The following is a 24,294-nucleotide window of genomic DNA, read 5'->3' as shown; positions in this document are numbered from 1 at the left end:
AGGCAGGTGGTCAGGGTCACAATGAGGAACGTCGAGGAAGAGGAGGGCCCAGGGTGGAACTCTCTGGTAACCAGGTTTGAGTAACCAGGTATGGACAGGCAAACAGGGTCTGGAAGCCAGTGACCCTCTCCTGTTTCTCCATCGTTCTCTACTGCTGGGTGACTCACTCACTCTCATTCCATCACTCCTGCAGTTTCTTTCTTTCTTTCTTCCTTTTTTTTTTTTTTTTTGAGATGGATTCTTGCTCTGTCATCCAGGCTGGAGTGCAGTGGTGCGATTTCGGCTCACTGCAACCTCCGCTTCCCAGGTTCAAGCGATTCTCTGCCTCAGCCTCCCAAATAGTTGTAGCTGGGACTACAGGCATGCACGACACCTGGCTAATTTTTGTATTTTTCGTAGAGATGGGGTTTCTTTCTTTTTTTTTTTTTGAGATGCAGTCTCACTCTGTCACCCAGGTTGGAGTGCAGTGGTGTGATCTCAGCTCACTGCAACCTCTGCCTCCCGGGTTCAAGTGATTCTCCTGCCTCAGCCTCCCGAGTAGCTGGGACTACAGGTGCCCACCACCACACTCAGCTAATTTTTTGTATTTCTTTAGTAGAGACGGGGTTTCACCGTGTTAGCCAGGATGGTCTCAATCTCCTGACCTCGTAATCTGCCCACCTCAGCCTCCCAAAGTGCTGGGATTACAGGCGTGAGCCACCACGCCCGACCAAGACAGGGTTTCATCATGTTGGCCAGGCCGGTCCCGAACTCCTGGCCTCAAGTGATCCGGCCTCCTAAAGTGCTGTACAGGTGTGAGCCACCGCACTCGGCCACTCCTGCAGTTTCATTTCAGAATCCTGAATCCTTTACCTCTTGACCACACCAGAGACTGGGGAGACCTCCGCCTCAGAGCCTTGGGGAAGGCATGGCTGGAATCCAGAGCCTTGGCCTGGTCCTGTACCATGTGCTAAGTAAATCCCAAAGAGCTCCACTCAAGACACTGAGTTCAGAATCCAGACCTGATCCTTGCTGGAAACAGGGAGAATAAAGAGCCTGGGTGGTTGTCGTCAGCCAGTGCAAGAGCTACGTAGTGCATGGTGCAGACTAGGAGGGCCTGCTGGCAGCCGCGTGGCCACTAAGCCAAGGGGTGCCTCACACCAAGAAGGGGACACTGGTTTCTCATTTCAGGAAGCCAAGGGCAGGGACCCAGGCTGGCCGAAGGAGTGGCACTCCCACGCTACAGACCACCACAGTGTTTCCTGGACTCTGTTTCTCTTTATTCCTCTCCCTCCATGCCCTGCCCCACACCCCACATCCGCCTGCTGGTCAGTTGAGTTTCTCGGTCTGGCTCCTGTGCAGAGAGGGCCTCAAGGTGGAGGTGGAAGCCGGTGGCAGTGAGCTGGACCTGGCTCTGCTCTTCTGCACCTGCCGCTTCAGCTCCAGGCTGTCGTACACCTGGTAGTTGGCATTGCCCCCTGGATTCCGGCTGAGTGGGACAAACATGGTCGGGGGAGGGGCAGGGTCCGCAGCCTGGACTTTGGGCCAGGGCTGGGAGGAATGGGGGACCAGCACTGAGCTTGGAGCTGGGGTCCGTTGATGGGAGGCCTCGTCCAACACCGTGAGGGAGGCAGAGGTAGTCAGAGGACGCCAGGCGGGCAGAGCCTCAGCCCAGTCAGCTGCCCGACGCCGCACCTCACGGGGGTCCTGGGAGCTGTAGCCCAAGGGTTCCGTGGATGGGTGGGGACTGCGGTGGGACTGGCCATAGGCGTGACCAAGCAGGCTCTGCTGGTGGGACTGTGGGGAGTGGTGCTCCCGGCAGCCCTGGGCCTCAGGCCGGGCGTTCCGGGACACCGAGGCAGGGGGGCGCTCAAAGCCCTCCGTGCCACGACGCCGCTGATCCCAGGAGTCATACAGCATCCAGCCCACTGAGGGGTAAGGGCTGTGCCCCACGGGGACCCAAGAGGGGTTAGGGGGCAGCCGGTGGGGAGGTGGTGGAGACGAGGCCCACTGCTCAGCCTCCACATTGCCCCACAGTCGGGATTGGGAACCGTGGCGCCCATAGGACTGCAGCCTCAGCTCAGACCTGGCCTCTACACGCTTGGGCATGCAGCGCAGCTCAGGTGACAGGTAGAGAGAGGGTGGTGGCAGACTGGCCAGGATACCACCCTGGTGGCCCCACAGCCCCACATTGGAGGGCAGGCCCGCTCTCTGATAAAACCCGCCCCAGCCGCGACGTGGGTACTTGGGATACGGGAAGGGCAGGTTGTCCTCCTCCTCCAGGTAGGAATCCGGGTCCTCCTGATCAAAGAAAGGCACTCGGTGTAGTTGTGACATCTTTTGGCTGCGATGTGGGTTACGGAAGACTGAGTGGCTATGGGGGATTTGTCTGTAGTTCTGCGGCCGCTGCTGGTGGTTGCAGCAGCGACGGCGACAACGGCGGTGGCGGCGGCGGCGGCGACGAACACAGCGAAGAAGACTGCTACTGTGATGGTTGGAGAAATGGTGGCAGGAGAAAGAGGAGTACTGCGTGGGTCGGGACATCTTCACCTGCACAGGGTCCAGGATGCAGTGGATGTGGACATCCTGAGCCTTGTCTGGGGGACCACTTGGGGGACTTTCACTGGCCTGAATTTCATCTGGGGAAGGCAAGAGTCCATGAAGTCAGGGCAATTGTCAGAAGAGCTCAAGGTTGGGAACACTGGGGCCTGGGTTTCTAGGGCCATTGTCAGGGGTGGGGATGGGGGTCCCCTACCTCTCCAGCAGCCACACTTACTTTTCTGAGTAGCCCAATCAATCATCTTGTCTAAGGCGTTCTGGAGTCCATGCCACATCTGGGGCAGGGTGGAAGAGAGTGAAGGCCAGGCCCTCCGCGCCCAGCACCACCACCCCTGCCCCCGCCCCAATCTAGACCGCACCTGCAGGTGGAGATGTAGGCTGCAGCTGGCTCCCACCCTTGGCCCTGTTCACCCCCAGAGGTAGTCCACAATCATCACTGACCATAGTTGCCACGTTGATGCCAATGTTGACAAGAACGATGAGGCCCAGCAGCAGGAGTAAGATGTCCTCGGCATCGTGGGGGCTTTCTTGGTATTGATTGCAACATCTCACGGTGTTATGCCATAGCTGGTTTTCCATGGAGGGGGGGTCCTAGGGCCACCTGGGCCACCCCCCTCTGCCCCCCACCCCCGGCCCCAACCCACACTGCACTCATGCCAATCCCCGGAGATAACTACAAGCTGGTAAGGGAGCCAGGTCACAATGAGGTGAGCTAGCGAGAGTCACAATGTGGAGGTGGCAGCTTTTATCCATTCTGCTGGCCCCTTCTACCGCCATCTCCACCCTTGGCTCCTACTTGGTGGAGCCTGGTCCCCACATATCCCAGATCTCAGTCTGTTCCTCTATCTCCACGAGGTTTGCTTAACCCCACAGCTGGTTCCTGAGCTGAAGATAGGGTAGTTAGAGGCTGACACGGTCGTCACAGGGTTGAAGCATGCATCAGATATGTCCTGTTTCATTGTTCTTTTGAGACATTATGGCAACTTACATAGCCTGTTGGCGTGCCTTGCCCCATGGTTACTTTGGGGCCAGCATCTAGGGTGACTAGATGGGCGGGTGACACTGCGTCCCCTCAGGCATCACCCTGCTGTACCAGCCCCTCCCTACTCTGCCCATTTCCCTGTCAAAAGTCCTCTAGCTCCCATCTCTGCCCAATTCTTCCTGGCCAGACTCCAGCCCTAGGTGTTGGTGGTCCTTGAGCCCACCAGCCACTTCGTCACACTGACATCTGACTCACTGAGGTGGCTGCCTCTGCTGGGAACCAACCCCAGCCATGGTTTCTCCAACCTAACCACCTACACTCCCACCAACCCACCCTTACTCCAAGGTGAAAAACGGTTAAGCTACTACCTGAAGAAAACCCGAGCTGGGCGCGGTGGCTCATGCCTATAATCCCAGCACTTTGGGAGGCTGAGGTGGCTGGATCACCTGAGGTCAGGAGTTCCAACCTGGCCAACATAGTGAAACCCCGTCTGTATTAAAAATACAAAAATTAGCTGGGTGTGGTGATGCGCGCCTGTAGTCCCAGCTACTCGGGAGGCTGAGGCAGAAGAATCATTTGAACCCAGGAGGTGGAGGTTGCAGCAAGCTGAGCTCTCGCCATTGTACTCCAGCTTGGGTGACACATCGAGAATCTGTCTCCAAAAAAACAAGAAAGGAAGGAAGGAAGGAAGGAAGGAAGGAAGGAAGGAAGGAAGGAAGGAAGGAAGGAAGGAAGGAAACTTGCTGGGCGCAGTGGCTCACGCCTATAATCCCAGGCAGGTGGACCACCTGAGGTCAGGAGTTTGAGACCAGCCTGGCCAACATGGCGAAACCTCTACTAAAAACACAAAAATTAGCTGGGCATGTTGGTGGGCGCCTGTAATCCCAGCTACTTGGGAGGCTGAGGCAGGAGAATTGCTTGAACCTGAGAGGTGGAGGTTGCAGCGAGCCAAGATCGCGCCACAGAAGTCCGGCCTGGGTGACAGAGTGAGACTGTCTCAAAACAAACAAACAACCCAACAACAACAACAACAACAACAAGAAAACCACATGAAATTAACAAAGCACAAAATACATGTAATTGTTAATATACCAAAAAGAGTGTTTGACTTAAAACAGGTGCATCACTGGGGTCTGTGGTGCCCTGGAGACTGCAAGCCATTTGTTTACACAGTGAACCACTCAGCAGAAAGAAAGGCCAGTGATCATATCCCATCCAGCCTCCAAACACAGAGTAGATGCAGAGTAGATTCAGATTCCACTGAATGGAATCCATTGAAAATGATCAGTAACGTTAGTTGAATGAGAGAAGTAGGGCCATTTGTAAACGGTCCGTCTGCTCACATTCCAGGAATCTGTCTAGAGTGGAAGGTGAAGTCCAGCTCCCTCAGCCTGGGCTCACGCACACAGCTGCTTGTTCTCAAGTGGTATGTGTGTGCATGTGCATATGATCCCAATTGTGTAGCAGAAAGGCAGGGCCTGAGTTTCTCTGTTTCTCAGTTTCTGAGTTCACATGGTGAACTGGGGAAGGTGGGAGGTTCTGGTGGGTCAGGCTGGCTCTGCAGCAATGGGATGGAGCATCTGAGGCCATGAGCTTGATCCTCAGTGTCTGTGTAACCATGAGCAAGACCCTTAGCTTCTCTGAACTTAGTCTCCTCACTGGTGACATGGTGAGTTAATCAAAGGAGTGAGGTCACAGAGAGCTGTGATGTTACAGTGAGGTACCTCTTGAGGGGGGCCCCAATATTTCTCTTCTTTTTTTTTTTTTTTGAGATGGAGTCTCGCTCTGTTGCCCAGGCTGGAGTGTAGTGGTGCAATCTCGGCTCACTGCAAGCTCCGCCTCCTGGGTTCACACCATTCTCCTGCCTCAGCCTCCCAAGTAGCTGGGACTATAGGCGCCCACCACCACGCCCGGCTAATTTTTTGTTTTCATATTTTTAGTAGAGATGGGGTTTCACCATGTTAGCCAGGATGGTCTCAATCTCCTGACCTTGTGATCTGCCCGCCTCGGCCTCCCAAAATGCTGGGATTACAGATGTGAGCCACCACGCCCGGCCTTTTTTTTTTTTTTTGATGGAGTCTCGCTCTGTCGCCCAGGCTGGGGTGCAGGGGCGCCATCTTGGCTAACTGCAACCTCTGCCTCCCACGTTCACACCATTCTCCTGCCTCAGCCTCCCAAGTAGCTGGGACTACAGGCGCCCACCATCATGCCCAGCTAATTTTTTTATTTTTTATTTTTCATTTTTTAGTAGAGACGGGGTGTCACTGTGTTAGCCAAGAGGTCTCGACCTCCTGACCTCGTGATCCGCCCGCCTCGGCTTCCCAAAGTGCTGGGATTACAGGCGTTAGCCACTGCGCCCAGCCAAGGGGGCCCCAATATTTCCTCCTCTGCTCCAATCCTGCTTAAGGGTATAGGACCTTCAGGGTGACTGGGGAACTGTGAAGGACTAGACGCCCTCTCAGCCATCCCTCCCCAAATAAATCAGGGCTTACGTGGGAACCAGGCCTCACCGGTGGCTGCAGCCTAACGCTGGGCTCTGGCAGGCACCAGCCTTCTGAGGAGCTAGGGCCATGGAGATGGAGATCTCTCCTCTAGTGCACGACTGCCTGGGGACCTGGGGTAGAATTTAGGGGCTTCTCTGTGCACTAAAGAAAACAAGGAATTAACTGGGCGTGGTGGTGCCTGTTGTCCCAGCTACTCAGGAGGCTGAGGCAGGAAGACTGCTTGAGCTCAGGAGGTTGAGTCTCCAGTGAGCCATGATTGCACCACTGCCCTCCAGCCTGAGTGACAGATCAAGACCCTGCCTCAGGGGAGGGGGAGGAAACAGTCCGGGCACAGTGGCTCACACCTGTAATCCCAGAACTTTCAGAGGTTGAGGCAGGCAGATCGATTGAGCCCAGGAGTTTGAGACCAGCCTAGGCAAAGTAGTGAAACCCAATCTCTACAAAAAATAGTGGTGCGGCTGGGGTGGGGTGGCTCACACCTGTTATCCCAGCACTTTGGGAGGCTGAGGCGGGCGGATCACCTGAGGTCAGGAGTTCAAGACCAGCCTGGCCGACATGGCAAAACCCCATCTGCACTAAAAATACAAAAATTAGCAGGGCATGGTGGCACACGCCTGTAGTCCCAGCTACTCAGGAGGCTGAAGGCAGGAGAATTGGTTGAACCTGGGAGGCAGAGGTTGCAGTGAGCCAAGATTGTGCCATTGCAGTCCAGTGTGGGTGACAAGAATAGGACTCTGTCTTAAAAACAAAAACAACCCCCCCCACACAAAAACCAACCAACCGAACAAACAACAACAACAACAACAAACTAGTGGCCCATGCCTGTAGTCCTAGTGACTCAGGAGGCTGAGGTGGGAGACAGTTGGGACTGCAGTGAACTGTGATTGCACCACTGCACTCCAGCCCGGGCAACAGAGAAGACCCTGTCTCAAAAAAAAAAAAAAATTGAAAACAAGGTAGAGGCAGGTAAGAGCCTTGGAACCCAGAAGGGCCTAGGAAAGGCTGAGGACAGGGACAGGCCTGTGGGGCAAAAGGTTAATGAGGGTCCTCAGGGCTCAGGGCCCTGTGGCTAGGGAGAGCATTCTCTTCACAGCCACAGCTTCTAGGTGCTGTGTGGGCCCTGGCACCCCAGCACCACCACAGATCACCTCCTCTCTCCTTTTTATTTTTTTCCAGTCACCTCCCAGTTAGGGAACGGTACACCCAATTCTTGCTTGTCTCCTCGGCAGTGCTGGATCCAGAGGCTAGGGGGTAGCAGCCGGACAGGGCCTCCACCTCCCGGGTCAGTTCCCGAAGCCGCCGTCTCATGTCCCGGGCATCATACACTATTCGGCCTGAGGAGCGGTGCCGGGAAAATTCAGGGATGACTGCTGGGCCCAGGGTGGGAGCTGGGACAGGCTGGTACTGAGCCGCCTCTGCCTCTGGCACCGCCCCCTCCCCACCGTTCTTGTGGCTAGGAGCCTCAGGGCTGGGAGGTGGGGGGTTCACAGGATACACATAGGCCCTTAGGCCCAGCTCGGACCATATGCCTGTTTTGAGGGGCCTTTCCTCTACGGTAGGCTGGAAGCGGATGGTCTGGGGAGGGGACTCTGGGGCATCCTGAGACCAGGGAACCCAGGTCCCCTGAGTGTGTTGGAAGCCTTCCCAGTCCTCAGGGACATCCCAGTGGTAGGAGCAGATGGCTGGGTACTGATGAGGCTTCTCGTCATCAGTGTCAGGAGCCCAAGCTACTGGGCAGTGAGCACAGCGTGTGGGAGAGCCTCGACGGCGATGGCGGTGAGCTGGGGGCGGGGACACAGTCATCATCACAGGGTCCATGGTGCACCGAAGATGGACTGCAGGAGAACTCTGCTTCTTAGGGGGCTGGGTCTGCTTTCTGAGTAATGATGACTTGGGAGCTTCTGTGGATGGGGGAGAGGTGAGACTAGTGGGGAGGCCAGCTCCTACAGGCATGGAGAGGCAGGGCCCAGGAAGGGCAGCCACACAGCTATGTTGTCTGAGAGGGGCGAGCAAGAAGGGAAGGGGCTAATTTAGGGCTGAGGCTAGAGCACTTGGTTTCTGCCCCTCCTATGTCCCAGCCCCCAGACCTCTTACCTTTCTCACAAATGGTATCATGGAACACTTGGTATAAGACACCACGGAATCGGCTCCAGAGCTAGGTGGGGGAAGACACAGTGATCCCAGGTAGGCCCTGGCCGGCAGGCCTGCCCCCCACTATCCCACCAGCTCCCTCCCATCTGGCCCCACCCTGACCAGGGTCACTATATTGATGCTAATGTTAATGCAGATGATGAGGCCCAGCAGCAACAGGACAGAGTTGCCCAGGTCCTGGCAGCTGTTGCTGTTGCAGTTGTGATACGAGGCCCACTCGGGCCTCGGCCGCTCAACCATGGCCATGGGGTCCCTAGGACCACCGGGGCCCTTACGCCCCCAGCCCACCGTGCCGACAGTGTCCACTGACTGCCTGCCTGTCCCTGAGGGTCTTGGGAGTGAACGGGTCACAATGGTGCCAGGCCACTCCCTTCCAGTGTGCCAAGGGGCTACCCTGAGTCCTGGACCCGTGGCTGACCCTCTCGCCTGAGTCCAGGCCTTGGCAGAGGCCATGCCTCTCACCTCACATACCTCTGCTGAGCTAGCTGCCTACACCAGCCCACTGGGCCTCTGGCCTGTTTGACATCTGCCCCCATCAGCCTTTGTCCTTCCATTATAGAACGACACCAGGCTCCAGTCTCGGCATAGACACGGGTCCTGACATTCATTTGCCAAACAGACCCATTACCATGGCAACCAGACCCCAGCACACACTCCCCCTTCCTCTCAGACCTCAGAGCTGGTCACTGAAAAGACCCCTCCTCCCTCGTCACTTCCCCAGGGCTTGTTTCTTTAGAGACCGCCCTCCCCACAACAGAGCAGGCACAACCAACAGTTAAACTTTTATATTTACAATATTCTCTTCATCTTTTGCCAGGTTTAAAAATGTGTACAGAGCCGCAAAGGGTTGGGGTAGGGATAAGGGATTGTCGGGATTGTTTTGGGGAGAGGAGCTGGGCATTGGAGTCCGTGGCTGAATCATGGGGTCCCCCAGCCCCCCTCCCATGCCCCAATTCTGAGGGCATCTGTCTACAGGGTTCAGGGCCCAGGTCTCTAGCATTTGGAGGGCATGGCTGTTTGGAGAGGAGCTAGACCAGGCAGGGGAAAGGATCAGAAAATAACTAATTTTCCATGGATGGAGGTAGGAAGAGAAGGGACAGTCAAGAGGCAAAGTTCTGGGGACTCAAGACCAGGGATTCTGGATTTGGGTGTCAGTGGAAGACAGCACCCCAGCCCCTATTCAAGTTTGGCACTAACACCCCACAAAATGCCAGCAGATGAGGACTCTCCCCTCGTCCACTGTGTCCCTTAAGCCCTTCCAGACATCATTCTTTTCCCAAATGCCCAAGCCCAAGGCCCTCCGGGGAGTCACCTCACACATTTCAAATTATTCCTGCTGGTGTCTGCCCAAGCCCTGTCCCCACTGCCCCCTCCATCTGTTCCCCAGCACCGCTGACCTCATTCTCCCAACCTGTCCGGTGAGACCTTTCTCCCCACTGCCTCCCTCCACCATTCAAGGCTCCTTTCTTTCAGACAAGGAGGGGGCGTGGGTCAGAGGAGGGTGGTCAGCTGAGGAGAAGGCTGGTCTGACACTGAGATGGGGACAGCTTCAAAGAGGGGGACGGAGATGAAGGGGAACGGAGAACTGAGGCAGGGTGGGGGAGACATGGTGAGGAGAAGGGGCACAGGCGGGAGCCCCCTCACCTGCCACATCCCTCGCCCTGTATCCTGCTTGCCCTTAGTTTCCCCTGCCCTGCCTGGGACTGGGAAATTCTTGGCACATTTTGGGAGTCTTTCCGCTCAAATCCACCTACCCAGTTTGGCACGGATGAGCAATGCTCTGAGGCCTGGGGAAAAGGCTGTCCTCGGACCACAATGAGGGCTTTGGTCAAACATGCGTGGCCTCTGCGGGGGGCACGTTGCCACACCCCCTCCCCCCAACTCGGGAGCAAGGGCCGGGCCTCCCTCGGGGTTTGTTCACCCTCCTCAGCTCCTGCCAACTAGAAGTCTGTGCTCACCTGCCATGTGAGGAGGAACTGGGTGCTGGGCCTGAGGCCTGGGGGAGGCAGGGAAGTGCTGGGAAGAGAGGGGCCGTCTGCCTGGGGAAACACACATCCACATGCAAGAACCTGTTTCCACTCAGAGAAATGCGTCCTGGCCACGGGAAAATAAGCTTCCAGGCAGCATCAGGATGCGTGGACTCCTCCCTCCCCCAGCAGGAAATCTGTGTCTGTCCTCTCTGGAAGGTGAGGGCCTCCCCGGCAGAACGTGCTTCATCTGACTTGTGCCAAGGGGGGCGTCGGGGGGAACATGCTTCGCCGGGGTAGGGGCAAGGGAGGCAGGGGCGAGGGGGCTGTGATTTCCTCGCTGCTTCCCAGGCTCCATCCTCTGTGGTCTGGTGGCCAAGGGTCACTGTATGTGAACACACCACTTCCAGGGTCTCCAGGGGGAGGGAGAGGGGAGGAGGTGGGAGAAGGGATGGGGGAACAGGATTCTGGGGTACAAATCCCCACAGAAATTCTTTGAGGGGGCCAACATGTGTCCAGGGTGGCAAAAAAAAACCTCACCCTGCACATGGGAAAACACACCCCGTTGTGAGAAAGCACACCTCCACGCGGGAAAATACCACATTCCACACACCGAAGACTGGTGTCCCAATGGGGGGGAGAAAACGCCCCCCAGTTGTTCAAAGGCCCAGATCCAGAGAAGAGACTGGGCTTCTCTGCGTGGGAAAGACACGCATCGCAGGGAGGAATCCCATGTCCACCTTAGCGCTGCTGGATGGCGTGTGACGACTCCACAGGAGAAAAGCCAGTTGCCAAGTCCTCCTCCCTGCCTTCGGAGTGGCCGGGCCAGGGAGGGCCGGGGAGGAGGGCCTCCCCACCCACCCCCTATACCCGAGTGGTGGAGTGGGGGTGGGGTAGCGTGTTGTTGTGGCTGGTGGCGGTGGGAGGGGGCGGGGGGAAGGGCCCGAAGGGATGAAGGGAGGGGGGCGGTGGGGGTGGCGGTGGCCCCAGGCCACTGGGCAGCAGGGTCAGGGCCCCGGGGGCCAAGAGAGGCACATCGTCCGGTGCCCGGCGCAGGGCCAGGGTGTAGTCGGGCGGGCAGGCAGGGCGCAGAGCCTCGGCAGGGTCCGCCCCGACGCCACCACCCCGCTTCAGCTGCAGTGACACCAGCTCCTCCTCTGGTGGCAGCTCACGGCCCGCGGCGGGGAGCAGGGGGCCCCCACCAGGCACGCCAGAGCCTGAGCCGCCAGGTGGGCTAAGCCGCCTGCACCGCAGCTCCTGCCGCCGGTCCCGCTTGTAGTAGAGGGCAGCAAAGGCCAGGATGTTGAGGAAGAGGAGGGAGGCACCCACGGCCACGGTGACGCTCAGCTCCGTGGAGTAGTCCCGTGAGTCCCCGGGGAAGCGGTCATAGGCCCTTGGGCCGGGCTCGGGCTCGGGCTCGGGAGGCAGGGTGGCAGGCGGCGGGGGCCGGCGTGTGCCCGGGGCGCCAGCGGGGGGACGAGGCGGCCAGCGCGTGGCGTAGGGAGGCAGGCGCGTGGTGGTGGTGAAGAGCTCCGTGTGCAGGTTGTGCAGGTGGGGCACGAGCTCCAGCCAGAAGGCCACCTTGTTGGCGCGGTAGTTGTCACGCACGCGTGGCTTCAGGCCTATGTGCAGATACTGCTTCTCCTTGCTGTTGAATTTGCTCCACACCACCTCCTCGAAGCGATTGGGCTTGGTGTGGATGAACTTGGTATCCTGCGGCACCGGCTGGTTGGGGTCCCTGTGGGCACAGGAGGGCAGGGAAAGGAGGAGTGAGGGCAAGGCTCTGAAGGAGGGTGGATGGCAGTGGGCAGGGAGACAGACAGAGATGCAGAGAGACAGGGGGACAGCAAGAAAGCCAGAGAAAAAGTCACAGAGGCAGAGAGACACAGATGGATATGAAGAGACAGAGAAACTGCCTGTCTCTTCAGGCAAATAGGCAAATAGGGATGGAGACAGACTGGCAGAGACAGCCAGAAATGCGGGCAGAGGGGCAGGGACACACACAGAGATAGCCAGGGAGAAGCAGAAGCTGAGCCTGAATGAAACACAGACAGGGTCAAAGACACGGGAGGGACAGCCAGAGACAGATACACAGCCAGGCTGAAATCAGCCGGCAGCCAGAGAAAGCGAAAAGTAAGCAGACAAAAGAGAGCAGCAGAGGGAGGTGGAGAGCTGTCAGTGGATTTTCAGAGAGACAGAGACAGAAGTAGAGACACACAAACTCTTACACACACTCAGACACACACACCTGAGCAGTCAGCCAGAGATGCAGAGCCCTAGGGGGGTCGGGCAGGGGGGATCAGGCAAGGAGGAGGGAGAGACAGACGCCAAGCCAAAGCCACTGAGTGGGCCCCCAACTCCCCAGAAAGGACAGCGGCTTCTCTGTCTGATACTGCTGAGTCTCCAACGCTCAACTCCGTGCCTGGCACAGAGGTGTCTGGGTTGGTTTCACTCGAGCAAGAGGGCAGGCCAGAGTGAGTGCCTTAACAGAGGAACGGCGGCCATGTGAAGGAGGGAGGGCCCCGCCCAGCCCCGCCCAGCCCCTCTGGCCCTCACCCAGTCTTGGCGAAGTTGGTCCAGTAGGTCATGACCACGGCACTGAGCATGACGTCATTCTTGGAGAAGTTACAGGGGAAGAGGTCGGTGGCACCCACCATGGGCACGCCAAAGACATAGGGCAGTTCATCCCCGTGCGCCGCATCTGCCCACTCAGGCCGGCCCTCCGCCTGGCAGTGGTGGTAGAAGGTGTAAAAGTAGACGGGAGACTGGTAGTCGGCGTGCAGCTTGGCAGTGGCCACAGCTGGTGCCACCCATTGGTGGTCAGTAAAGAGCGCCAGCAGGGTTTTGCGGCGCATTTCGCCATTGTCCCGGTCGGCCCAGTCTGTGTACATAAACTTGATGGTCTCCCGAAGCACATCCTTGCCTTCCGGGTAGCCATACAGGTTGTCCACAAAGTTGGAGACAGTGAAGTCAAAGGCGCTGGCAGACACACCGTCCTCGCTCTCTGCAGAGTCCTCCACGAACTTGAGGCCCTCTCCCTGGTTGACGCCGATGAGCATGTCGTAGTTGAGGAATTCTCCCTGCTGCATGAGGATCTCAGGGTCATCGGGGACCACGTCGCCATCCACCACGGGCCCAAAGGCGATGTGGTAGCTGGGGAGAAGGGGTCAGGGTCTCACCACCTGCTCACTGGCCTCCTCTTGGCCTGTGGCCTGCTAAGCCCACACGCAGATGCTTCCCTCTACCTGCAAGACCCTTCTTCCCTACTTGAAATCCTCCAGTGGGTCCTTTGGGAGATCTGGCCTCTCTGGAAGTCATCCCAAAGCACTTCATGGCACCCTGTGCTCACCTGCTCTGATTGAGCACCTCCACTGAAGGAAGGCTTGCAAGAGGAGGCCACTTACTGGGGGCCAGAAGCCCATCCCTCCTTGCCAAATGGTATGCCCACAGGCACCTCTCACCTCAGCCTCCTTGGAACCTTGAAGGCCTGGACCCAGCCCTCTCCCACCCCATACCGGGCAGGCTGCACGTCCTGGTCCACCAGCTCCCGGGAGGGCTTCCGGCGCAGACACTCCACAGCTTCAGCGCTGTCCTCTCGGTCACAGCCCACCTTGGCTGCCAGCAGCCGCGTGTACTTGAGCGGCTGGTAGTTGACAGACCAGCTGGAAATGGCGGTGCCACTCTGGGCGATGGCCTTCTGGAACAGCCCTGGCGGGACAGGCAGACCTCAGGCCAGGCTGTGAGTACCGGCCTGAAGGAGAGGGGGGAGTTGGCAGGGTTGGGAAGGGTGGAACAGGCTGGGACACTGCTGGTACCTTCTGAATGGTGGGAGAGGATCAGAAGGTTGACGCAGGAGGCCCCTGCCCCGGAACCAAAGATGGTGATACGCTCGGGGTCGCCCCCAAAGTGGGCGATGTTTTCACTGAGCCAGCGCAGGGCCTGGATCTGGTCCAGGAGCCCATAGTTGCCTTTTGCAGCCTGGTCCCCGGTGCTGAGAAAACCTGGGAGTAGAGAAGAAGAGGGCTCCCTGGAGGTGTCACAGCGCCCCTGCCCCCTTTCTGGGCAGCTCAGTCCAGCCCAGAAGCCATTCTGCTGGATGTGGAGGAACCCTGCCCACCAGGCCCACCTCCCAGACTCCCCCGAGCCCCAGAGTTGGCTGCCCACCCTCACCGAGCACCCCAAGACGGTAGTTGAGCGTGGCTACAATGACGTTGCCATAGGCAGCCAGGACTGAGCCATCGAACATGTTTCCGGTCCCCTCCATGTAGGAGCCGCCATGGAGAAACAGCATCACAGGCTTCTTCCCAGGGTCACGGATATCTGTGTGGGGAGGGGTGGGCAGGTGGGCCAGGGGGTCAGGGACAAGGACACAGTCAGACCGGAAGCAGCAGCGCCCAGCTCCCAGGCCTGCTGAGGACTGGCCTGGAGCTCAGGGGACATGTCACTCCCATCCCTGGGGGGCAAGACCGGATTCCCCTCCTCCCTCCCCAGCTAGCCCTGGCAGACATTCCCTCCCCACCCTCTGCCAGCCTTCCCCGCGGCACTTCTCCAATGCAGACTTTCCAAGAAACCCCGTAGAGGCTGGGGGTGGGCAGTGGCCCTCCTTAGGGCATCTGCTGGATCCAGGGAACCCCCAGCACCCCCGCACACAGCACATCTCCTTCCTGTCCCTGGGAAGAGCAAGCTCCCGAGGCTAGAACTGGAGCTGGAGCTGCTGGGAGGGTCCTGGTGTCTCCTCCGACTCAGGCCTTGGGCCTCCACTCCACATGGCACCCTGGTCGGTGGGTGAGGGGTGCCAGGCCTAGGGTCCCTGGTCTGTGGGTGAGGGGTGCCAGGCCTAGGGTCCCTGGGGCTTGGTCTCCTCCCCGCCCTAATTCCTTTCTAGGTCACCTCCCCAGTCACCATGGCAACCCCCAGCCTAATTACTGTGGCAGGAGGAGGAAGAGCCTGCTTAATGAAGCCAGGGTGCAGCTTAGTTTTGGACACCCCCAAACTGGCCTGAGCCCTGGGTTCTGCACTGGGCTCCTTCCCGCCATACCCCCTGAGGATCCCCTGATCACTGCCACATGTGATCAGGCCCTTGAGTTGCTCCAGATTGGACTGAAGGGTGACTAATTCCAGAGGATGTGGGAGTCTGAGAGTGCTTGCCAGGGTCCCCGAGGCTACAGTATCCTCCCCTGCAGCTCCCCATGATTCAGCCATAGTGCTAGGGCTGGGGTCACCCCTGGCCCACAGGCCCTCCTCTTTCTTGACACTGGCCCTCCCTGCTAGCCTGGATACTCAGCAAACCAAAGCCAGGCCTGGGCCTCCACAGCTGGTCCCCAGCATCTCTGCCCACCTCCCTCATCCTGGTAGAAACATCCCTCCTGCCAGAAGGTCAACCTGCAGGTCACTAAGACATTCTCCTTGACCTCACAGACAGCTTCCTGCCTCCCATCCCTAAGACCCCCTGTGCAGCCCCCATGCTCCTGACTGCTTCCGCCAGAGCTTCTATGTGGGCAGCACCCTCGCTGGGTTCTCCTCAAATCCTGTCCTCTCCTTTGCTCCTGAACCTCAAGTGACCTCCCAGCACTTTCAGGCCGGAATCTCCTTCCCTCCAAGGTCCTGTCCTAATTGTCCTCAGTTCTCCCATCCTCACCCCACCCCTCTCCCAGTGTGAGGGGAGGAGGGGTCAGAAAGGGAAGGAGCAGGAAGAGGGGCTGGGGCGACAAGAATTCAAAACCAACAACAAAAACAGGATCAAGAAAGAAGAAAGAAAGAAAGAAAGAAAAAAACAACCAAAAAGCAAGAAGCTCTCGGGGCAGATTCAACAAGAAAAGAAAAAACAAAAAGATCCATTTTGGGAAAAAAGAAAAAAAGAAAAAAATTCTTTGCATTTTTTTTTCAAAATTTTGTGGTGAAACTTCAAGATATTGGGCCCTGTTTTAAAAAATTGTCAAATTCTTTAATTCACTTCGAATGTTTGCGTTTTCTGTGTCTGACAGGCTTTTGGAAATTGCGACAGGCTTCTGATGTTTCAATGGTGTCATCAATTTGCCAACTTTTAAATTTTTTTTGAACTGTTGTTTTGTTCCAATTTCAAATTGGTTTTTTCAAATGTTACATTTCACAAGTTTCAAAACTGTCCAGATTTCTTTCAAATTCTAAACATTTTAACCAATTCTTTTGAATTTTATTTTTCTGACATTCCAATTTCTTTTTGTTTTTCAGCTTATTTTCACCATGTTTAGCTTTTCTGGCAGGTTTTCTACTGGGTCCAACATTGTTCAAATTTCGTTTGAAGTTTTCATAATTCTTTTTTCCAATTATTAAACATTTTTCTTTTCTTTTCTTTTTCATTTTAGTTGGGAGAACGACTGAGGGGCCTTGAGGGCTGTGGGGACATTTAGTGAGGGGCAGGGCCATGAATGTCCTCTTATAAGCAACCACATGCAGCAGCGGGATTTTTAAATCTACCTGTGTCTGGCGGATTGAGCGTCGCCTCGTCACGTTTTTTTGTGAGCGGACCTAAGACCGGGAACACAAAACAGAGAAAAAAGGACAATTTTGTGGGGAAAGATGGGGGTCGGGGGGAGGTGGTGGATGGGGAGGGGAGGAGAGAAAGCAGAAAAGGGGAGGGTGGGGGAGGCAGAAAAAAGAAGCCAAAAAAAAGCAAAATTTGTTTGCAAGAAAAAGAAACCAAGAAAAGAGAAAAACGTTTCTACAACCCAATTTTGTTCCCCTCCCCAGAAAAAGTCATGCCCCAAAGAAAAGGCTGGTTTTGGGGGGGTGGGGTGCCTGAGTGGGCTGAGGCCTGTCTTAAGACATATCGACTTGGCTGGAAAGGTTTTGGCTTGTCGATGTGTTTGCTAATTGCTGGAAATGAAACAGTGTTAGAGGTGGGGTGGGAGGGGAGGGGAAGCCCACCCAGAGCCCCTGGGAGACCAAGGCCAGCTTGCCACCCAGGCCACCTCTCAGAAGGCCCCCTTCAGGGCCAGCGAAGCACCTGCCTGCCGCCCCCCACAAGGCTGTAGGGAGGAGAGACTGCCGCAGAAAAGACTCTGCTTCCCTCTGGACCACTCTGCAGGGCAGCGAGCAGGACAGGGTTGGGGGGCAGCCTGCCCCACAGCTCAGCCCCAGAAGCCTTCCGCTCCCCACTGGAGGGCTATGGGAAGGTCAGCTGGGGCTGCCCGCCCGCTACCCAGCCTCACCACCAGCACTTCTCGTCTATCCACACTCACAGGCCTGGCTTCTCACCCCAGCTCCCCAGTGTGGGCAAAGCAGGGAAGGGGGTCATCAGGTCTTGCCCTCCGCTCCAGCTCAACCCTCCGCACTCCCCCCAACCTCGTCCCTTACCCAGGCTTCCTCTCCTCCCCCCAAAATGGTGAATTTCCCACCAGGGCCACCAGCCGCTGCCTCCCCTGCCCCTGCTCCACTGCCAAAAAGCACCCCTTCCCCAACGGCCGAGCGGGTGGTTCAGTCCACAGATAGGGAACGAGGAACACAGTGCCCTGAGCCAGCCTGGCACACAGGTGCCAGCAGGTACCGGGAGCACCAGGTTCGCCCAGTGTCAGGGCTTCTTCCAGATTACGGGGTTGGTCAGGGGCGAGCTGGAGCCCAGAGGCCTGGGGGTTCCCCGAGGCTGATTGGTTTTTCCTCAATGGCACAGGGACTGGCACGTGGGTCAAGGCCAAGGATGGGTCAAGGCCAAGGCAAGCTCTGGAAGGCGTCTCCTAAGTGGCAGTGATGGCCCCATGGGGACCCGCTGGGAACAGGGCCTCTTCTTTGTGAGAGGATGGGGTGGGGACAAAGTGAGCAAGGCACGTGTGCACGTGAGTCTATGAAGCGCGTGTGTGTGTGCGCGCGCGCGCCTGAGTCAACCTCTTCCTCCCAGAGCTGGTGTGAAGATTCAGTGAGATCACCTGAATGTGTCAGGCCCCAGGCAGGTCTGCAATCAGCAGTGGCTAAAAATACAGAAGGTGTGGGCAAGGGTGGTGTGGGGGCAGGGGTGGACAACTGTGTGGAGGTGTTGGGGTGGACAGTCCATTGGTGACAAGTGCTGGGTGGATGTTTCACATGGAAGGTGACGAGACAGCACCCATGAGGGGGCCCTGGGGTGTGCAGAGCCTGTGTGAGAGTAGGGAGTGCTGGGATGGGCAGCCCACATGGAGGTGCTGAGGTGAAGGACTCATGATGGGGCAGGCGCTGGGATGGCAGAGGAGTGTGGTGTGCACAGCTCTTCTGTGGAGGGCATTGTACTGGGGGGCACGTGGGGCATGTACTGGGATAAATGGCTTATGGGGAACTAGGGTGCTTCAAATTTGAATAGGATTAGAGTAGATGACGCTCTGTGCATTGTGTGTATGGGTTGTGGGGAGGCGTGGTTTATATGGAGAGGGGTATGGCTGGGATGGGGGATACAGGGTGAATGGTCCATTTGCGAGGTATTGGGATGGACATGGGTGGGTGGAGGTGCATGAGATGTTCCGTGTTTGGCAGGGGGGGATTCTGAGTGCAGGGGGCATGGTGTTGGAGTACTTGTTTGGTGAGTAGGGTGCAAGCTTGCCGGATGTGTTTTCACCACCTGAGGTCCGGTGCAGATGATCTCTAGGTAGGAGTGGGGTAAACAATGATTGAGGAGTGTTGGGGATGTTGGGGACTGTGATGTGAGGGGCCTGCTGAGCACACGGCCCAGGCGCGCAGGTTACTGGATGTGTGGATGTTCTTAAGGCACGTGATCTATATCCAGGGATGCTGGGGAGCACAGGTGTGTGTGGGTGACATGGTACATAGTTTCAGAGATGTACTGGGGGTGTGTGTGATATGAAAGTACTGGGAATTGTGATTGTGGGGTGCTGGAGCACAAGGTCAGTGTACAGGTTGGTTGGGTGATGATTTAATTGTGGAGTAGTTGGGATTTGCCATCTGTTTTGGGACTTGAGCACATGCCGTGGAGGTGCTGGGTATGTACAGGGTACATTAGGAGCTCCTGGGTACCAGGCCTATGTGTAAGGTTGCTGGAAACATGGACTGTGGGAAGCGTGGTGGCAGCGGATGGTCTATACGCAGACGCTGCCATGTTTTGGAGTGGTAAGATGGGTGTCAGAAGAGCCATGCGGGGTGCAGGGGGGTGTTTGTGAGGCTGGTCTGCTGAGATGGCTGGAATCCACCTATTGCACCCTGTTCACACTCTGGAAGGTGTTCTGATTAGTCTTGGAGTGCTGAGGATGGAGGGTGGAGAACTGTCCAGAAGGAATGTGCCAGGGGCTATGAGCAGTCCTGTAGTGAACAAGAGTTCATTAAGAACAGAAATTCAAGAGCCCCAGGGAAGACGGGTGGGCTGTGCTGGCCCTCAGCAAGGAGCTTCCCTGATCCTTCAGGGGCGTACAGGGGTCAAGGGAGAAGAGAAGGACATCGGTACCACTGCCAAGGTGCTCAGCTCAGGCAAGGGGCTCTGGACATGATGTGATAGATGGAAGGCAGCCCTCACCAGCCAGGGGGAGAGGGAGAGCCTGCGTTGTCCTTGGGGTGCAGATGTAGCTAACCTGGGTATTCTGCCAGGAACAAGCCCAGGTCTGGCGGCGGGAGGCGGGGCAAGGTTGGAGTGGGTGTCTGAGCAGAGGATGGATCACCTGATTCCCCCTCCGTGGCCAGGTTGAGATTAGCTGGCAGACTGTGCCTCTTTGGGGAGACAGTGGGTGAGCCTAGTCCAGTGCCTGCCATCCCTACCATGGCCCCCCATGGGCGTAAAGAACTTATGGAGAGGCTGTCTGCAGAGTGTGTGCCTGGGACTGCCTGGAGGCACCCTTACAATCCTCAGGGGGCACGTAGAGGTTGCAGGGACACTCCGTCCCTCACTGCCCCCACAAAGGCCCAGCTCTGAGCCCTAGAGCGGTGCCAGTGCCTGAGGGTCTGCATGTGCGTTTGTGGGCTGTGTCCACGGGGTGCCCGGCTTTGTGCCCGCGCCCTTACCGTCCTCGGTGGGCACGTAGAGGTTGAGGTACAGGCAGTCCTCGCTCTGGTTCTGCACGTAGGTGGCGGCCGCCTCCAAGTTGTCGGTGAACCACACAGGCAGCATGATGGCGGGCAGCGCCCCGTGCAGGTTCTGCGGGCAGGCGGGCGGCAGGGTGGTGGCGTTGCGCACGCCGGGCCACGAGGCGGGCGCCTCAGGCGGCTGGAAGCGGCGGGCGCCCAGGGGCGGCGTGGCGTAGGGCACGCCCAAGAACTGCACGACGGGGCCCAGGATCTCGTTGTTGAGCTCGCGCCGCACACCGCGCACTCGCCCGTAGGCCGTGTTCACCACCGGGAAGCGCTCCTCGCCGAGGCTGCCGAGGCCCAGGCCGGGGCCGCCCGGGGCGCCGCCGCCGGGACCCCCTCCCCCGCGTTGAGCCCCCGCCAGCCCCACCAGACACAGCGCCAGGAGCCACATGCTGATCGGGGGACCCCCCCTCCCTCCCTGGGACCCCCCCCCCTCGGAGAGAGAGAGAAGGGGGGGAGAGGGAGGGAGGCCCCCCTCGCCCCAGGAGGGAGGAGGGGCGGGGGGAAAGGAGGGAGGAGGGGGTTGGGGAGGGACCTGGGTTAGACTGGACAGAGAAGGGGTCTGTTCCTCTCCATGGAGGGGGCACGGGGTGGGGAAGGGGAAGGAAATGGGAGAAGGTGAAGGCAGGCCCGACCTGCGGGGGGTGGAGCGAGAGGGGCAGGGAGGCAGGATACAGACAGACGGACAGACAGAAAAATACAGAGGTGGAAGAGGGCAAGGGAAATTGGATGGGGCAGACAGAAAGGAATGGGGAAACAGAAGAGACAAGTGGTTAGTGACCTGGAATTCAGACCAAGTTGCCCCCTTCTCCCACCCACAGGCCCCCTGACACCTCCCCACTCCCACCCAGCAGCCCTTCTCCCCTCAGCAGACGCCTAGGTTGGGGGTGGGGCCCAGATGTGGTTCAAGTCCAGGACCCAGCCAGAGGAGAGGCGGGTCAGCTCTCCAGACCCAGCATGCTCCCTTCCAGCTGATGTATCCCTCCCAGGCAGGTTCTCCTCAGGGACTCAGGAGTCCCAGCTCCCACCTCCCTGGGAGGGAATGAGGTAGACAAGGAAGAGAAAACAAAAATACCAAGTCATTAATTAGCTGGAAGAGGCAGGTTTGTTTATATGTGTTAATTACTCCTGAGCTGTAATTTCATGGCGCTGAACCCCCACCCCAGGCCAGACTCAGGCCTTTCTTGGGACTGCACAAACCTAGCACCTTATCCCCACTTCAACACACCATTCGCTAAGGATTTGTGCTGCCTGCGACCCCTCTCTCCCCAGACTCTCTCCATTTCCTCCGTCAGAAGTTGGGGTACCTTGAGGCTGGGGTTAGAGTAGGGAGGGGACGCTGGAGGGGCAAATCCAGGGACAGATGCGTGATCCTGCAGCCGGTTGCCGGGTGACGGGATGCTGCCCCGCAATGTTACCTCGGCAACGGGCTGCAGCTTTAACCCTGGAGGGGGGTTCTGGAGGAAGACGGGAAGGGGCTGGCTTGGTTTGGTGGTCCATTCAGGGCATGAAGGGGAGGGCAAAGGCGTGAGTCAGAATGCAAGAGTTCCCCCCAACCTTAACATAGAGGAAGAAGTATATATGTTGAGAGGAGGGGGAGATTGGGGGCACCAAGAACGCTAAAAGCCCTGCCTGTTGGCCAATCAAAGCCTAGCCTTAGTGACCAGGCCTCTGGCTTGGGAGAGGGGGTGCTGAGGTGGGCTTGAAGAGACATCACAGGAGCCTACTGACTGCCCCCCTCCAGCAATTTCAAGCAACCTTGGACCCCACCACCTTTTCATCTTTGCAAGCCATTGTGACCCATGTCCTGGGGGCAACACTGAGCTTTCTTCTCTTCCCATCCCAACCCATCCATTCACCTACCCTTCCCCTTGCCACCCCCCCTACAGTTGCTGCTCTGATGCCTGGGTGCTCAGGGCAGCAGGGGCCAGCCAAGGGAGAAGATCAGACCGGAGGGGCAGACACCCAGGTCATTTCGGCAAGCCCCCCCCCCGCCCCCCCACCAGCCGCCAGAGCTGTTTGCTGACGCGGGGTTTTCAGAGCCAGGCGCCAGCCCGCGGGTGGCTCTCTGCAGGTGTCAATTTATTCCAGAGATGAGGACACAGGAATCCTTACCACACACACCCAGTCATGCCCCCTGCCTTTCAGCTTCTCTAAGGCTCCTCTATTCCTCCATCACCTGGAGGTGGCTCGGGGCTGATTCCCCCAGGATCTCCTTTTCCTGTGCCAGACTGGGCTCAGCTACCATGGCCTTGCTGCCCCCTCCCCCTCCCCACAACAAGATCTGCCTCAGTCACCCTCTCCTCTTGAGGGTACTCTGGGCCCCTGGCCTCCTCCCACCAGCTCCGCTCCCTCCTTCCCTCCCACTGGAGGCCCCCCCATCTCTCTCCTCTCCGTAGTGCTCCCTGGGAGCATCTTTTGTGGGCCTCTTCCAGCTTGCCCCAGCTCTTGCCTTCAGTCTCTCACCCTCGGTCTTTTTACATCTTTCTCTTCTGTATCTCTCTCCTTGGTGTTTCTCATTTCTTTCTCTCTCTCCAAATGCCTTCCCCAAATTTCCCCCTTAAGCCTTCTGTCTCTCTCTCCTGTCTTTCCCCATCACTGTCTCCCCCATTTTCTCTCCTCATCTCTGTCTGCCACATCTTGCTCCCTCCTCCTTCTCCCTATCCCTCTGCCTTCTCTCTCCATTCCTGCCCAGGCCTGACTCCCCCAGCCGGGGAGAGTTGAGGGACGGGGGCTCAGGCCGCAGGCCCCCCCTTCCTGCAGTGGTGAAAATGGCTTGGCTGGGAAGGGGAGAAGGAGGGGGAGGGGGAGATGGGAACACACGGGGTCTGTGGGCCCATTCAAAGGATCATTCATGGACTGGAGAGAGGCAGAGACAAAGAGACCAAGACGCAGAGACACGGCGAGAGCATCCCTAGGCGGAGACACGCAGACAGAGCAGGCTGGGGGAAACCAGGCGCAGGGAGGGAGATGGGGAGAGGGAGACCCCAGTGGACCGCCACGCAGCCCCCTCCACCGACCCGGCTTAGGTCCTACCTGGCTCAGCCCTGGGGCCGTGGTGCCTCCATCCAGGGCTCCGAGTGGGGGGCGAAAGGCCTTCGGGAGGGGGCGGCGGCCTCTGAGCCCCCGCGGCCCCGCAGGCCCAGCCCCCGCCCGCAGCGCCTCACCCGGCGGGGGAGGGGGATCGCCCCAGCCCCGGGGGGCGGGGCCGGGATCCAGTCGATCCCCGGGAAAAGGAGAGCTAGGGGATGGGATCAGGGGGAGCCCGAGAACAGGGAACCCCGCAGTAGGGACGATAGAGAAAGGAGGGGGCAACGGGACAGGACTAGATTGAGGATCCGCTGGTTCCGTGGGCCGGCTTCGAGGGACCAGAAGGCGGTCCAGGCGGAGGATCCTAAGGATCGGGTGCTGGAGGAGGAGTCCACGTTAATCCCCAGGGGCCCGGGGCCCGGGAGCGCAGGATCCGCGGTGCAGGGGCAGGGATCCAGCCGGAATCCTCGGGGAGGGGGAGGGATCTAGTCGATCCCGAGGGCGGGCGTGAGGGGGAGGTCCGGGGAGTCAGAGGAGGGCGGGAGCCGAGTCCAGAGCCCCGGGGCGGGGGTCAGCGCGGATCCTAGGAGGGAAGGCGGGGGTGAGGGGAGGCTTCGAGGGACGCTCAGCAGCCGGGAGGCCCGGACTCCTGGCTCCGCGCGCCAGGGCCGGCCCGCCCCGCGTCCATCCCAGCCCGAGAGTGATGATCCGCCGGCGGAGCAGCCGCAGCAGCCCCGCGCGTCACCGCGCGGCCGCCTCCCCCGCCCCCTGCCGAGAGAGCGGCGCACACCCCCCGCTCGCACCCCCCGCTCGCACCCGCCTGCCCGCCCGCCCTCCGGAGAATGGGGGGATTGGAGATGGTGGGAAGAGGCGGGAGCGGACAGACGGACAGATGGACGTAGCGGGCCAGGGCAGGGTGGAGACATTCCCCCGGATCTCCCACCCTCGGGGCTCTCGCGGTCTCGGAGGGCTGGCGGGGGGGAGAATATCTTAACTACAGGGGGCGGGGCATCATACAAAGAAGGCGGAGCCTTCAGACATGGGGGAGGGGCCATTTGTGCAGTGGGCGGGGTTTACTGGCAATAGGTGGGGCTTTGCTATCTTT

At 58.5% G+C, this 24,294-nt stretch overlaps 3 protein-coding genes across 9 annotated transcripts, besides 3 other annotated features; all 3 read right to left on the bottom strand.

The window, feature by feature from the left end:
* Positions 1 to 1,237: 1,237 nt before the first annotated feature.
* Positions 1,238 to 3,190, bottom strand: SPEM2 (SPEM family member 2). 2 transcript variants are annotated; one of them, NM_175734.5, is made up of 3 exons: positions 2,980 to 3,190; positions 2,756 to 2,813; positions 1,238 to 2,618 (listed from the first exon to the last, which is right to left on the bottom strand). In NM_175734.5, exons 1-3 carry the CDS (start codon positions 3,115 to 3,117, stop codon positions 1,309 to 1,311), a joined length of 1,506 nt encoding a protein of 501 aa, NP_783861.3. In that variant the 5' UTR covers positions 3,118 to 3,190; the 3' UTR covers positions 1,238 to 1,308. The 2 variants fall into 2 exon arrangements, with proteins under 2 accessions (NP_783861.3, XP_006721534.1); XM_006721471.4 differs by having other exon boundaries at positions 1,238 to 2,529.
* Positions 1,754 to 2,255: an enhancer, noted in NCBI's record as "H3K27ac-H3K4me1 hESC enhancer chr17:7329870-7330371 (GRCh37/hg19 assembly coordinates)". NCBI's record gives its function as "activates a minimal SCP1, AML or CMV promoter by ChIP-STARR-seq in primed H9 embryonic stem cells {active_cell/tissue: H9 hESC(primed)}" and the evidence as "EXISTENCE:reporter gene assay evidence [ECO:0000049][PMID:30033119]".
* A 3,983-nt stretch (positions 3,191 to 7,173) lies between the features above and the next one.
* On the bottom strand, positions 7,174 to 8,482 carry SPEM1 (spermatid maturation 1). Its single transcript, NM_199339.3, has 3 exons — positions 8,278 to 8,482; positions 8,119 to 8,179; positions 7,174 to 7,925 (listed from the first exon to the last, which is right to left on the bottom strand). Exons 1-3 carry the CDS (start codon positions 8,419 to 8,421, stop codon positions 7,201 to 7,203), a joined length of 930 nt encoding a protein of 309 aa, NP_955371.2. The 5' UTR covers positions 8,422 to 8,482; the 3' UTR covers positions 7,174 to 7,200.
* Positions 8,479 to 8,998: an enhancer, noted in NCBI's record as "H3K4me1 hESC enhancer chr17:7323127-7323646 (GRCh37/hg19 assembly coordinates)". NCBI's record gives its function as "activates a minimal SCP1, AML or CMV promoter by ChIP-STARR-seq in naive and primed H9 embryonic stem cells {active_cell/tissue: H9 hESC(naive and primed)}" and the evidence as "EXISTENCE:reporter gene assay evidence [ECO:0000049][PMID:30033119]".
* Positions 8,946 to 24,153, bottom strand: NLGN2 (neuroligin 2). 6 transcript variants are annotated; one of them, XM_047436464.1, is made up of 9 exons: positions 24,006 to 24,153; positions 23,196 to 23,772; positions 20,094 to 21,191; positions 16,599 to 16,649; positions 14,313 to 14,462; positions 13,958 to 14,143; positions 13,658 to 13,850; positions 12,699 to 13,295; positions 8,946 to 11,880 (listed from the first exon to the last, which is right to left on the bottom strand). In XM_047436464.1, the coding sequence occupies exons 3-9, from the start codon at positions 20,548 to 20,550 to the stop codon at positions 11,007 to 11,009; spliced, it is 2,508 nt and encodes an 835-aa protein (XP_047292420.1). In that variant the 5' UTR covers positions 20,551 to 21,191; positions 23,196 to 23,772; positions 24,006 to 24,153; the 3' UTR covers positions 8,946 to 11,006. The 6 variants fall into 6 exon arrangements, with proteins under 6 accessions (XP_047292420.1, XP_047292419.1, XP_047292418.1 ...); XM_047436463.1 differs by lacking the exon at positions 24,006 to 24,153 and having other exon boundaries at positions 23,196 to 23,891; XM_047436462.1 differs by lacking the exon at positions 24,006 to 24,153 and having other exon boundaries at positions 20,094 to 20,794; positions 23,196 to 23,891.
* Positions 23,901 to 24,230: a silencer, noted in NCBI's record as "silent region_8116". NCBI's record gives its function as "represses an Ori minimal core promoter by ATAC-STARR-seq in GM12878 lymphoblastoid cells {active_cell/tissue: GM12878}" and the evidence as "EXISTENCE:reporter gene assay evidence [ECO:0000049][PMID:35858748]".

Source organism: Homo sapiens, chromosome 17 (genome assembly GCF_000001405.40).
Source record: "Homo sapiens chromosome 17, GRCh38.p14 Primary Assembly".
NCBI lineage: Eukaryota > Metazoa > Chordata > Mammalia > Primates > Hominidae > Homo > Homo sapiens.
The sequence above is the reverse complement of the archived record's forward strand: the minus strand, read 5'-3'. Positions and strand labels throughout refer to the sequence as shown.

What these genes read in the sequence shown, in the direction of transcription:
- NLGN2 (XM_047436464.1), bottom strand. Translation starts at nt 20,550, where the DNA reads ATGTGGCTCCTGGCGCTGTGTCTGGTGGGGCTGGCGGGGGCTCAACGC. An exon ending in GCTCAATCCGCCAGACACAG is followed by an intron (nt 14,463 to 16,598) that starts GTAGATTTAAAA and finishes CTCCCCACACAG; the next exon opens with ATATCCGTGACCCTGGGAAG. An exon ending in CAGGACGTGCAGCCTGCCCG is followed by an intron (nt 13,296 to 13,657) that starts GTATGGGGTGGG and finishes CCTTCTCCCCAG; the next exon opens with CTACCACATCGCCTTTGGGC.
- SPEM2 (NM_175734.5), bottom strand. Translation starts at nt 3,117, where the DNA reads ATGGAAAACCAGCTATGGCATAACACCGTGAGATGTTGCAATCAATAC. An exon ending in GCATCAACGTGGCAACTATG is followed by an intron (nt 2,814 to 2,979) that starts GTCAGTGATGAT and finishes ACCCTGCCCCAG; the next exon opens with ATGTGGCATGGACTCCAGAA. An exon ending in TGATTGGGCTACTCAGAAAA is followed by an intron (nt 2,619 to 2,755) that starts GTAAGTGTGGCT and finishes TGCCTTCCCCAG; the next exon opens with ATGAAATTCAGGCCAGTGAA.
- SPEM1 (NM_199339.3), bottom strand. Translation starts at nt 8,421, where the DNA reads ATGGCCATGGTTGAGCGGCCGAGGCCCGAGTGGGCCTCGTATCACAAC. An exon ending in GCATCAATATAGTGACCCTG is followed by an intron (nt 8,180 to 8,277) that starts GTCAGGGTGGGG and finishes TCCCCCACCTAG; the next exon opens with CTCTGGAGCCGATTCCGTGG. An exon ending in TGATACCATTTGTGAGAAAG is followed by an intron (nt 7,926 to 8,118) that starts GTAAGAGGTCTG and finishes CCCCATCCACAG; the next exon opens with AAGCTCCCAAGTCATCATTA.